Source organism: Homo sapiens, chromosome X, assembly GCF_000001405.40.
Source record: "Homo sapiens chromosome X, GRCh38.p14 Primary Assembly".
Taxonomy (NCBI): domain Eukaryota; kingdom Metazoa; phylum Chordata; class Mammalia; order Primates; family Hominidae; genus Homo; species Homo sapiens.
Window position 1 is genome coordinate 113,081,883 of NC_000023.11, and position 14,221 is coordinate 113,096,103.

At 36.7% G+C, this 14,221-nt stretch overlaps 1 long non-coding RNA gene across 1 annotated transcript in view, besides 1 other annotated feature; it reads left to right on the forward strand.

Annotated features, from left to right (window-relative positions):
• The window catches only part of LOC101928437 (uncharacterized), a 477,888-nt gene that overhangs the window by 39,156 nt on the left and 424,511 nt on the right, over positions 1–14,221 (forward strand). The window lies entirely within an intron of this gene.
• Positions 5,913–6,413: an enhancer, noted in NCBI's record as "H3K27ac hESC enhancer chrX:112331023-112331523 (GRCh37/hg19 assembly coordinates)". NCBI's record gives its function as "activates a minimal SCP1, AML or CMV promoter by ChIP-STARR-seq in naive H9 embryonic stem cells {active_cell/tissue: H9 hESC(naive)}" and the evidence as "EXISTENCE:reporter gene assay evidence [ECO:0000049][PMID:30033119]".

The following is a 14,221-nucleotide window of genomic DNA, read 5'->3' on the forward strand; positions in this document are numbered from 1 at the left end:
TTGTGTCATTCTTATGCCTTTGCATCCTCACAGCTTAGCTCTCACTTATGAGTGAGAACATACAATGTTTGGTTTTCATTCCTGAATTACTTCATTTAGAATAGTCTCCAATCTCACCCAGGTTGCTGTGAATGCCATTAATTAATTCCTTTTCATGGCTGAGTACTATTCCATCATATATATATATAAAGAGAGTATATATGTATATGTGTATATATATACACATATACATATATACATGTTGTATATATGTATATTTTTATATATACATGTTGTATATATGTATATTTTTATATATACATATATATTTATATGTAGATATACATGTACATATATGTATATATACATATAAATTTATACATATATGTATATGTATATATGTGTGTGTGTATATATGTATATAATCACAGTTTATTTTCTACAAGAAATGCTAATGGAAATATTTCAATCAGAAAGAATAGAATGTTAATGAGCAATAACTAATTACCTGAAGGTATAAAACTCACTGGTAAGTAAACAGAAAAATACAGAATATTATAATACTGTAACTGTGGCATGTAAACTACTCTTTTCTTTTTTTTTTTTTTTTGAGATGGCGTCTCACTCTGTTGCCCAGGCTGGAGTGCCGTGGTGCGAGCTCGGCTCACTGCACGCTCCGCCTCCCGGGTTCATGCCATTCTCCTGCCTCAGCCTCCTGAGTAGCTGGGACTACAGGCACCCGCCACCATGCCTGGCTAATTTTTTGTTTTTTTTTTTTTTTTAGTAGAGACAGGATTTCACCGTGTTAGCCAGGATGGTCTCGATCTCCTGACCTCGTGATCTACCCTCCTCGGCCTCCCAAAGTGCTGGGATTACAGGCGTAAGCCACCGTGCCTGGCCAACTACTCTTATCCTAACTGGAAAGAGTAAGTGATGAACCAATAAAAAAGAACAACTGCAACAAGTTTGCAAGACATAGACAATACAATAAAATATAAATGGAAACAACAAAAGGTTTAAAAGTGGGAGGACAAAGTTAAGTCTCAGAATTTTTATTTGTCTTATTTTTGTTTGTTTGTTTATACAAACAATGTTAAGTTCTTATCAGGTCAAAATACAGGGTTGTAAGATTGTATTTGCAAGCTTCACAGTAACCTCAAACCAAAAACACAATGGACACACAAAAAATAAAAAGCAAGAAACTAAATTATACTACCAGAGAAAATCACTTTCACTAAAGGAAGATAGGAAGGCAAGAAAGAGAAGAGAACACCACAAAACACCCAGAAAACAAATAAAATGGCAGGAGTAAGTCCTTACTTATCAGTAATAACACTGAATGTAAATAGACTAAAATCTCCAATCTGAAGATATGGAGTAGCTGAATGGGTTAAAAAACAAGACCCATTAATCAGTTGCCTTCAAGAAACACACTTCAGGTAAAGACACACATACACTGAAAATAAAGGGATGGAAAAAGATATTCCAAGCAAATGGAAACCAAAAAAAGAGCGGGAGTTGCTATACTTATATCAGACAAAATACATCTGAGATAAAGTTGAAGTATACACTACTAAGCTAGAAAATATTTGTAAAACAACAAAAATAAATTCTTATTTCTTCAGAAATTTCAAAGGAAATGGTAACAAGTGGGATCAAGATCCTGAAGCATTTCTTTACAGAATTGTAACAGGAGATGAAACAGGGCTTTACCAGCATGATCTTAAAGACAAAACACAATCAAAGCAATGATTATGAAGAGGCAGAAGTGGTGCAGTCAAAGCTAAAGTGGGCCTGTGTAATGCAAATGTCACAGCAACAGTTTTTGGGATGCTCAGGGGATATTGCTAGTCGACTTTCTGGAGGGCCAAAGAACAATAGCATCTGTTTATTATGAGAGTGTTTTGAGAAAGTTAGCCAAAGTTTTAGAAGAAAAATGCCCAGGAAAGCTTCACCAGAGAGTCATTCTCCACCACGTAAATGTTCCTGCTCATTTATCTCATCAAACAAAAGCAATTTTATGAAAGTTTTGGTGGGAAATCATTAGGTATCCACCTCAAATTTCTGATTTGTCTATTTCTTACTTATTTTTGTTTTCTAATCTGAAAAAAATCTTTAAAAAGCACCAATTTTTCTTCAGTTAATAATGGAGAAGAAACACTGTGTTGACACAGTTAAACTCCCAGGATCCTCAGTTATTTTTTTGTTTTTAACTTTTAAGTTCAAGGGTACATGTGCAGGTTTGTTATATAGGTAAACTCGTGTCACGAGGTTTGTTGTACAGTTTATTATGTCACCCAGGTATTAAGCCTAATACCCATTAGTTATTTTCCTAATCCTCTCTTTTCTCCCACTCTCCACTTTCCAGTAGGTGCTAGTGTCTGTTGTTTCCCTTTATGTGTCCATGTGTTCTCATCATTTAGCTCAACTTATAAGTGAGAACATGTGGTATTTTGTTTTCTGTTCCTACATTAGTTTGCTAAGGATAATGGCCTGCACCTTCATCCATGTTCCTGCAAAGGATATGATTTTGTTCCTTTTTATGACTGCATAGTATTCCATGGTGCATATGTACCACATTTTCTTTATCCAGTCTATCATTGATGGGCATTTAGCTTGATTCCAGGTCTTTGCTATTAGGAATAGTGCCGCAATGAACATACACGTGCATGTGCCTTTATGGAAGAATGACTTATATTCCTTTGGGTTTATACTCAGTAAAAGGATTGCCTGATCAAATGGTCATTCTGTTTTTAGCTCTTTGAGGAACTGTCACACTTCTTTCCACAATGGTTGAACTGATTTACACTCCCATCAACAGTGTATAAGTGTTCCCTCTTCTCCACAGCCTCACTAGCATCTGTTATTTTTGGACTTTTTAGTAGTAGCCATTCTGACAGGTAAGAGAGGGTATCTCATAGTGGTTTGGATTTGCATTTATCTAATGCTCAGTGGTGTGTTTTTTGTCATATGCTTCTTTGCTACACATATGTCTCCTTTCAGAAAGTGTCTGTTCATGTCCTTTGCCCACTTTTTCATGGAGTGGTTTGTTATTTTCTTGTAAATTTGTGTAAGCTCCTTATAGATACTGGATATTAGACATTTGTCAGATGCATAGTTCGCAAATATTTTCTCCCATTCTGTAAGTTGTCTGCTTACTCTGTTGATAGTTTCTTTTGTGGCACAGAAGCTCTTTAATTAGATCCCATTTGTTAGGTTTTACTTTTGTTGTGATTCCGTTTGTTGTCTTTGTCATAAAATCTTTGCTCATTTCTATGTCCAGAATGGTATTGCCTAGGCTGTCTTCTAGGGTTTTTATGGTTTTGGGTTTTACATTTAAGTCTTTAATCCATCTTGAGTTGATTTTTGTGTGTTTTCTAAGAAACAGGTGTAGCTTCAATTTTTTGTATATGGCTAGCCAATTATCCCAGCACCATTTATTGAATAGGGAGTTCGTTCCCCATTGTGTGTTTTTGTCAGGTTTGTTGAAGATCAGATGGTTGTAGCTGTGTACCTTATTTCTGGGTTCTGTATTTTGTACCATTGGCACATGTGTCTGGTTTTGTACCAGTACCATGCTGTTTTGATTACTGTAGTCTTGTGGTATAGTCAGGTAGAATAATGCCTTCAGCCTTGTTCCTTTTGCTTAGGATTTCCTTGGCTCTTCTGGCTGTTTTCTGGTTCCATTTGATTTTTAAAATAGTTTTTCTTTCTAGTTATGTGAAGAATGCTTTTAGTAGTTTGATAGGAATAGTATTGAATCTATAAATTGCTTTGGTCAGTATGGCCATTTGAATGATATTGATTTTTCCTATCCATGAACATGAAATGTTCTTCCATTTGTTTGTGTCATCTCTGATTTCTTTGAGCAGTGTTTTGTAATTCTCATTGTAGAGATTTTTCACCTCCCTGATTAGCTATATTTCTAGGGGTTTGTGTGTGTGTGTGTGTGTGTGTGTGTGTGTGGCAATTGTGAGTGGGACTGCATTCCTGATTTGGCTCTCAACTTGACTATTGTTGGCGTATAAGGTTGTTAGTGATTTTTGCATGTTAATTTTGTATCTTGACACTTTACTGAAGTTGTTTATCAACTGAAGAAGCTTTTGGAACTAAACTATGGAGTTTTCTAGCTATAGAATTATGTCTTCTGTAAACAAAGATAGATTGACTTCCTCTCTTCTTATTTGGATGTGATTTATTTCTTTCTCTTGCCTGATTGCTCTGGCCAGGATTTCCAATACTATATTGAATAGGAGTGGTGAGAGACGCATCCTTGTCTTATGCCAGTTTTAAAGGGGAATGCTTCCAGCTTTTTGCCTATTTAGTATGATGTTGGCTCTGGGTTTGTCATAGGTGGCTCTTATTATTTCAAGGTATGTTCCTTCAATACCTAGTTTATTTAGAGTTTTTAACATGGAGGGCATTTATTGAATGCCATTTCTGCATCCATTAAGATAATTATGTGGTTTTTGTTTTTAGTTCTGTTAATGTGATGAATCACATTTATGAATTTGCATATGTTCAACCAACCTTGCATCCCAGGGATAAAGCCTCCTTGATCACAGTGGATTAGCTTTTTAACATGCTGCTCGATTTATTTTGCTAGTATTTTCTTTAGGTCTTTTGCATCAACGTTCATCAAGGATATTGGCCTAAAGTTTTCTTTATTTGTTGTGTCTCTGGTAGTTTTTTGTATTAGGATGATGCTGGCCACATAGAATGAGTTGGGGTGGATTCCCTCCTCCTCAATCTTTTTGGAATAGTATCAGTGGGAACAGTGTCAGCTCTTCTTTGTACATCAGGTAGAATTCATGTGTGAATCTGACTTGTCCTGGGCTTATTTTGGTTGGTAGTCTATTTATTGCTGGCCCAATTTTGGAGCTCATTATTAGTCTTTTCAGGGATTCAATTTCTTCATGGTTCAGCATTGGGATGCTGTATGTGTCCCAGGATTTATCCATTTCTTCTAGATTTTCTAGTTTGTGTACATAGAGGTATTCATAATATTCTCTGATGATTGTTTGTATTTCTGTGGGATCAGTGGTAATATTTCTTTTGTTATTTCTAATTGTTTTTATTTGGATCATTTCTCTTTTCTTTATTAGTCTAGCTACTTGGCTATCTATTTTATTATTTTTTTCAAAAATCCAACTCCTGGATTTGTTGATCTTTTGAATTTTTTTATGTCTTTAGGGATGAACTTAAATGCCTGGCATCATCACAAGAGTGTCTTGAACTTAATGGAGCTTATGCTCAGAAATAAAGTTATTTTATTTTTATCTTGTAATTCAAATTTTAATGAACTTTTTGAGGTCTCTTTGTATGTTTTATTTATCAAAAATGTTTAAAATCTAGTAGGAAGAATAAGGCATCTCTACAAAATATCATAGTACTTTAATTAGAAAGTATAAGAGACATCAAAGCACATGCATGGAACTACAGAGGAAGAGGAATGCATACCTATTGGTCAGGAGATCTTTGTGATGATTTCATTGACCCTGGAAGTTGAAGGATACATAGTATTCAATCTGAAAAATGAGAGTGGGGTTTTTATGAATTTGACACATCATGAGCAAAGATATAAAGATGAAAAGGTGAGAATCCTTTTCTACTTTTCAATTTTTCGCTAACAGTCTGTGTAATAGTATATGGATCCAGTAACTAGAAGACAAATGTTTGGAGATGAAGAAGATCATGGCGGATGGGAGGCGGGACTAGATTGCAGCTCCTGACAGAGCAGCATGCGGGGGCTTGCCTTGTGAATTTTAGCTCCAGATCGACTGCAAGAACAAACCAGCAATCCTGAGAAGACCCACAGACCCTCTGAAAGAAGCAGACTGCTCCTGTAGGACCCAGGGGACACCCCAAATACCGTGAGTGCCCCAGCTGAGGAAGTGGGAAAAGGAGACCCTCCTCTCCTGAACACACACCCCCACTGGAGAAACTTACGGTCTGTTTGCAGGAGCAGTTTCTGACTTTATCTGAAGTTGAGTCAAGTTATAGAGCTGAGAGAAATACAGGGGTAGAGGATGCAGCAGAAAGGCCCTGGAATCTCACTAGGTTTCCAAGCAGCCCATTCCTGCCTGGCACCACAGGGATCCATCTGGAGGGTGGCCAGAGGAGCAGGGGATAAAACTCCGCAGGCAGAAGTAATTCTCTAGCTGAAATTTGTAACAATTTAAATGGGGCAAGAAGCCTGGCCAGAACTTGGGGGAAGGGCATTAATCAGGTGTGCAGACTTCACAGGCAGGGGAAGAACCAAAGTCCTTTTCTTTTGCAGCTGGGAGGCAGATAACCTCCAGGAAATTTTCAAGCCTGTCTCACTCTCTGCCTGGAAACAGACTCAGGGTTGTTGCAGGGGGCACAGTGGGAGTGAGACCAGCCCTTCGGTTTGTATGGAAGCTGGGTGAGGCCTTGACTGCTGTGTTTCCCCCACTTCCCTCCGACAACCTGCATGACTTAGCAGAGGCAGGCATAATCCTCGTAGGTACACAACTCCAGTGACCTGGGAATCTCACCTCCATCCCCCACACCAGCCACAGCAAGACCCACCCAAAGAGAGTCTGAGCTTAGACACAACTAGTCCCGCCCCTACCTGATGGTCCTTCCCTATCCAACTTGGTAGCAGAAAACAACGGGCATAAAATCTTGGGAGTTCTAGGGCCCCACCCACCACCAGTCCCTCTTCACACTACAGCTGATGCTTTCTGGAAAGGGCCACCTCCTGGCAGAAGGCCAACCAGCACAAAATAGAGCATTAAACCACCAAAGCTAAGGAACCTCATGGAGTCCATTGTAGCCCTCTGCCACCTCCACCAGAAAGGCAAGGTATCTATGGCTGACAGACCCATAGATGGTTCACATCACAGGACTCTATGCAGGCAGCCCCCAGTATCAGGTAGACTCGCTGGGTGGCTAGACCCAGAAGAGAGACAACAATCACTGCAGTTCAGCTCACAAGAAGCCACATCCATAGGAAAAGAGGGAGAGTACTACATCAAGGGAACACCCTGAGGGACAAAAGAATCACAACAACAGCCTTCAGCCCTAGACCTTCGCTCTGACAGAGCCTATTCAAATGAGAAGGAGCCAGAAAACCAACACTAATAATATGACAAAACGAAGCTCTTCAACACCCCCCAAAAATCACAGTAGTTCACCAGCAATGGATCCAAACCAAGAAGAAATCCGTGATTTACCTGAAAAAAAAAAAAAAAAAAAAAAGTCAGAAGGTTAGTTATTAAGCTAATCAGGGAGGCACCAGAGAAAGGTGAAGCCCAATGCAAGGAAATCTAAATAATGATACAAGAAGTGAAGGGAGAAATATTCAGGGAAACAGATAGCTTAAAGAAAAAACAATCAAACTCAGGAAACATTGGACACACTTTTAGAAATTGGAAATTATCTGGAAAGTCTCAGCAATAGAACTGAACAAGTAGAAGAAAGAAATTCAGAGCTTGAAGACAAGGTCTTCAAATTAGCCCAATCAAACAAAGACAAAGAAAAAAGAAAAAGAAAATATGAACAAAGCCTCCAAGAAGTCTGGGATTACCCAAACCTAAGAATAGTTGGTATTCCTGAGGAAGAAGAGAATTCTAAAAGCTTGGAAAACATATTTGGGGGAATAATTGAGGAAAACTTCTCCAGTCTTGCTAGAGACCTAGACATCCAAATACAAGAAGCACAAAGAACACCTGGGAAATTCATCACAAAAAGATCTTCACCTAGGCACGTTGTCATCAGGTTATCCAAAGTTAAGATGAGGGAAAGACTCTTAAAAGCTATGAGACAGAAGTACCAGGTAACCTATAAAGGAAGACCTATCAGATTAACAGCAGATTTCTCAGCAGAAATCAAACAAGCTAGAAGGGATTGGGACCCTATCTTCAGCCTCATCAAACAACACAATTGTCAGCCAAGAATATTGTATCCGGTGAAACTAAGCATCAGATATGAAGGAAAGATACAGTCTTTTTAAGACAAACAAATGCTGAGAGAATTTGCCATTACCAAGCCACCACTACAAGAACTGCTAGAAGGAGCTCTAAATCTTGAATGAAATCCTGGAAACACATCAAAATAGAACCTCTTTAATGCATATATCACACTATAAAACAAAAGTACAAGTTAAAAAACAAAAACAAAAAAACAAAATGAAAGTACACAGGCAACAAACAGCATGATGAATGCAAGAGTACCTCACATTTCAATACTAACATTGAATGTAAATGACCTAAATGTTCCACTTAAAAGATACAGAACCACAGAATGGATAAGAACTCACCAACCATCTGCTGCCTTCAGGGGACTCACGTAACACATAAGCACTCACATAAACTTAAAGTAAAGGGGTGGAAAAAGGCATTTCATGCAAATGGAAAGCAAAAGTGAGCAGGGATAGCTATTCTTATATCAGACAAAAAAACTGTAAAGCAACAGAGGTTAAAAGAGAAAAAAAAGGGACATTATATAATCATAAAAGGCTTTGTCCAACAGGAAAATATCACAATCCTAAACACATATGGACCTAACACTTGAGCTCCCAAATTTATAAATTAATTAGTAACAGACCTAAGAAATGAGATAGGCAGCAACACAATAATAGTGGGAGACTTCAATACTCCACTGACAGCACTTGACAGGTCATCAAGACAGAAAGAAAACAAAGAAACAATGGATTTAAAGTATACCTTGTAACAAGGGGACTTAACAGATACGTACAGAATATTTCATCCAACAGCCACAGAGTACACATTCTATTCAACAGAACATGGAACTTTCTCCACGATAGGCCATAAAACAAGCCTCAATAAATTTAAGAAAATTGAAATTTTATCAAGCACTCTCTCAGACCACAGTGGAATAAAAGTGAAATAAACTCCAAAAGGAACCTTTAAAACCATGCAAATACACAGAAATTAAGTAACATGCCCCTGAATGAGCATTGGGTCAAAAACAAAATCAAGATGGAAATTAAAAAATTATTTGAACTAAATGACAATAATGACACAACCTCTCAAAACCTCTGGGATACAGCAAAGGCGGTGCTAAGAGGAAAGTTCATAGCCCTAAATGACTACATCAAAAAGTCTGAAAGAGCACAAACAAGCAATCTAAGGTCACACCTCAAGGAACCAGAGAAACAAGAACAGACCAAACCCAAACCCAGCAGAAGAAAGGAAATAACAAAGATCAGAGCAGAACTAAATGAAATTGAAACAAAAAAAAACCATAAATGATAAATGAAACAAAAAGCTGGCTCTTTGAAAAGATAAATAAAATTTATAGACCACTGGCAAAATTAACCAAGAAAAGAAGACAGAAAATCCAAATAACTTCACTAAGAAACAAAACAGGAGATATTACAACTGACACCACTGAAATACAAAAGATCATTCAAGGCTACTGTGAACACCTTTATGCACATAAACTAGAAAACCTAGAAGAAATGGATAAATTCCTGGAAAAATACAAGCCTCCTAGCTTGTATCAGGAATAATTACATACCCTGAACAGTCCAATAACAAGCAGTGAGTTGGAAACGGTAATTTAAAAATTACCAACAAAAAAAATCCAGGACCAGACAGATTCACAGCAGAGTTCTACCAGACATTCAAAGAAGAATTGGAAGCAATCCTTTTGACACTATTCCACAAGACAGAGAAAGAAGGAACACTCCCTAACTCATTCTATGAAGCCAGCATCACCAAAACCAGTTAAGTACATAACCAAAAAACAAAACTATAGACTGATATCCTTAATGAATGTAGATGCTAAAATCCTTAACCAAATACTATCTAACTGAATCCAACATCATATCAAAAAGATAATCTACCATGATCAAGTGGGTTTCATACCAGGGATGCAGGGATGGTTTAACATGTACAAGTCAATAAATGTGATACACCACATAAAGAGAATTAAAAACAAAAATCACATGATAATGTCAATAGGTGTTGAAAAAGCATTCAACAAAATGGAGCATCCCTTTATGATCAAAACCCTCAGCAAAATCGGCATACAAGGGACATACCTCAATGTAATAAAAGCCATCTATGACAAACTCACAGCCAACATAATACTGAATGAGGAAAAGTTGAAAGCATTCCCTCTGAGAACTGGAACAAGACAGGATGCCCATTCTCAGCACTCCTCTTCAACATAGTAATGGAAGTCCTAGCAAGAGCAATCAGACAAGAGAAAAAAATGAAGGGCATCCAAATCGGTAAAGAAGAAGTGAAACTGTCACTGTGTGCTGATGATATGATCGTTTCCCTTGAAAACCCTAAGGACTCCTCCAGAAAGCTCCTAGAACTAATAAAAGAATTCACCAGTTTCCAGATACAAGATTAATGTACACAAATTAGTAACTCTTCTATACACCAACAGTGACCAAGTAGAGAATCAAATAAAGAACTCAACCCATTTTACGATAGCTGCAAAAAAAAAAAAAAAATACTTAGGAATATACCTAACAAAGGAGTTGAAGGACCTTTACGAGGAAAACTATAAAACACTGCTAAAAGAAATCATAGATGATGCAAACAAATGGAAACACATTCCATGCTCATGGATGGGTAGAATCAATATTGTGAAAATGACCATACTGCCAAAAGCAATCTACAAATTCAATGCAATCTCCATCAAAATACCACCATCATTCTTCACAGAATTAGAAAAAAAATTCTAAAATTCATATGAAACTAAAAAAGAGTCCACATAGCCAAAGTAAGACTAAGCAAAAAGAACAAATCTGGAGGCATCACACTATTTGATTTCAAATTATACTCTAAGGCCATAGTCACAAAAACAGCATAGTACTGGTATAAAAATAGTCACATAGAACAATGGAACAGAACCCAGAAGTAAACTCAAATACTTACAGCCAACCGAATTTCCACAAAGCAAACAAAAACATAAAGTGGGGAAAGGACACCCTATTCAAAAAATGGTGCTGGGATAATTGGCTAGCCACATGTATAAGAATGAAACTGGATCCTCATCTCTCACCTTATACAAAAATAAATTCAAGATGGATTAAGGACTTAAACCTAAGACCTGAAACTCTAAAAATTCTAGAAGACAACATTGGAAAAAACCCTTATAGACATTGGCTTAGGCAAGGATTTCATGACCAAGAACCCAAAAGCAAATACAATAAAAACAAAGAGAAATATTGGGACCTAATTAAACTAAAGAGCTTTTGCACAGTGAAAGGAACAGTCAGCAGAGTAAAGAGACAACTCACAGACGGGGAGAAAATCTTCACAATCTGTATATCTGACAAAGGACTAATATCCAGAATCTACAACGAACTGAAACACATCAGTAAGAAAAAAACAATCTCATCAAAAAGTGGGCTAAGGATATTAGTAGACAATTGTCAAATGAAGGTATACAAATGGCAAACAAACATTTGAAAAAATGCTCAACATCAGTAATGATCAGGGAAATGCAAATCAAAACCACAATGTGATACCACTTTACTCCTGCAAGAATTACCATAATCAAAAAATCAAAAAACAGTAGATGTTGGCATGGATGAGGTGAACAGGGACCACTTTTCCATTGCTGTTGGGAATTTAAGCTAGCAGAGCCACTATGGAAAACAGTGTGGAGATTCCTTAAAGAACTAAAAGTAGAACTACCATTTGATCCAGCAATGCTACTACTGGATATCTACCCAGAGGAAAAGAAGTCATTATTTGAAAAAGGTAACTTGCACATGCATGTTTATAACAGCACAATTCACAATTGCAAAATCGTGGAACCAACCCGAATGCCCATCAATCAATGAGAAGATAAAATGAATGTGGTATATATATATATATATGTATATGTATATATGTGTATATATGTGTATATATGTATATATATGTATATATGTATATATATATGTATATATATGTATATATGTATATATGTATATATATGTATATATATGTATATATGTATATATGTATATATATGTATATATATGTATATATGTATATATGTATATATATGTATATATATGTATATATGTATATATATGTGTATATATATATATATAGTGGAATACTATTCAGCCATAAAAATGAATTAATAGCATTTACAGTGACCTGGATGAGATTGAAGACTGTTATTCCAAGTGAAATAACTCAGGAATTGTAAACCAAATATTGTACGTTTCTCACTATATACAAAAATTAACTCAAAATGGACTAAAAACTGAAACTATAAATCTGCTAAAGGAAAAAATCGGGGAAATGTTTCTTGACGTTGGACTGAGCAATAATATTTTGGATAAGACCTTAAAAAGGTGACAAAAGCAAAAATAGGCAAATGAAAATACATCAAGTTAAAAAGCTTCTATACAGCAATGGAAAAAGTCAACAGAGTGAAGAAACAATATGCAGAATGAGAGAAAACATTTGCAAATTATGTGTCTAACAAGTGGTTAATACCAGAATATATAAGAAACTCAAACAACTTAATAGCAAAAATAAATTTGATTTAAAAATGGGCAAAAGACGTTTCTTAAAAGAAAACATGCAAAGCGGCAACAGATATATGAAAAAATGCTCAGTATCACTAACCATCAGGGAATTGCCAATCAAACCCACAGTGAGTTATCACCTCACCTCAATTAGAATGGTTATTATCAAAATGACAAAAGATAACAAATGCTAGTTAATGTGTAGAGAAAAGAGAAGACTTAATACACTGTTGGTGGGTATGTAAATTAGTGTAGCTATCAGGAAATCTGTATATGGGTTCCTCAAAATATTAAAAAGAGAACTACCATTTGATCCAACAATCATATATGCATATATGCAAAGGAAATGAAATCAGTATGTCAAAGAGATGTACGCAGCCAAGTTTGGTGGCTCACAACTGTAATCCCAGCACTTTGGGAGGCTGAGGCAGGTGGATCACCTGAGTTCAGGAGTTTGAAACCAGACTGGGCAACATGGTGAAACCCCACCTCTACAAAAAACATAGCCAGACATGGCGGTGTGCAACTGTAATGCTGGCTACTTGTGGGGCTAAGGTGGGGGGATTGCTTGGGCTGGGATGTCAAGGCTGCGGTGAGCCATGTTTGCACCTCTGCACTCCAGCCTGTGTGACGAAATGAGACCTTGTCTCAAAACAAAACAAAACAAAACAAAAGAGCTATCTGCACTCCCGTGTTTCTTGCAGCACTATTTATAATAGTCAAAATATGGAATCAACCTATGTGTCCATCAACAAATGAATGAATAAAGAAAATGTCACATACACACACAATGGAATACTACTCAGTCATAAAAAGAATGAAATATTGTCGTTCATGGCAACATGGATGGACTTTAAAGACATTATGTTAGGTGAAATAAGCCAGGCACAAAAAGCCAAATACTGCATGATCCTACTCATATGTGGAATCTAAGAAAATTGATTTCAATAATCAGAGAGTAGAAAAGTGACTATTGTAGACTGGGTAGTGGAGGGAGAAGGGGAATAGGGAAAGATTGGTGAACAGGTACAAAATTATAGTTAAAGAGGAGGAATAAGTTTTGGTGTTCTATCATGCAGTAGGGTTACTACAGTATACAATATTGTATTTTATATTTCAAAATAGCCAGAAGGGAGGATTATGAATGTTCTTACCACACAAAAATTATAAATGTTTGTAGCAGAGAGGGTGGAGTAAGATGGATGAAGAGAAGCATCCACCAATCATCCCCCTCACAGGAACACCAAATTTTCATCTCCTCCCAGGTAAAATGGCTTTTATTCTAAAGACAGGCAATAACAAATGCTGGCGAGGATGTTGATAAAAGGGAGCCCTTGTTCACTGTTGGTGGGAATGTAAATTAGTACAGCCACTGAGAGAACAGTTTGGAAGTTCCTCAAAAAACTAAAAATAGAGCTAACTTACAATGCAGCAATCCTACTGCTGGGTATATACCCAAAAGAAAGGAAATTAGTGTATCAAAGACATACCTGCACTCCCAAGTTTATTGCAGCACCATTCACAACAGCCAAGATTTGGAGGCAATGTAAGTGTCTATTAACAGATGAATGAAGAAAATGTGGTACTTATACACAATGGAGTACTATTCAGCCATAAAAAAGAGTGACATCTTGTCATTTGCAACAATATATATGGAACTGAAGGTCATTATTAAGTGAAATAAATGAAATAAGCCAGGCACAGGAAAACAAACATTGCATGTTGTCACTTATTTGTGGATCTAAAAGTTAAAATAACTGAACT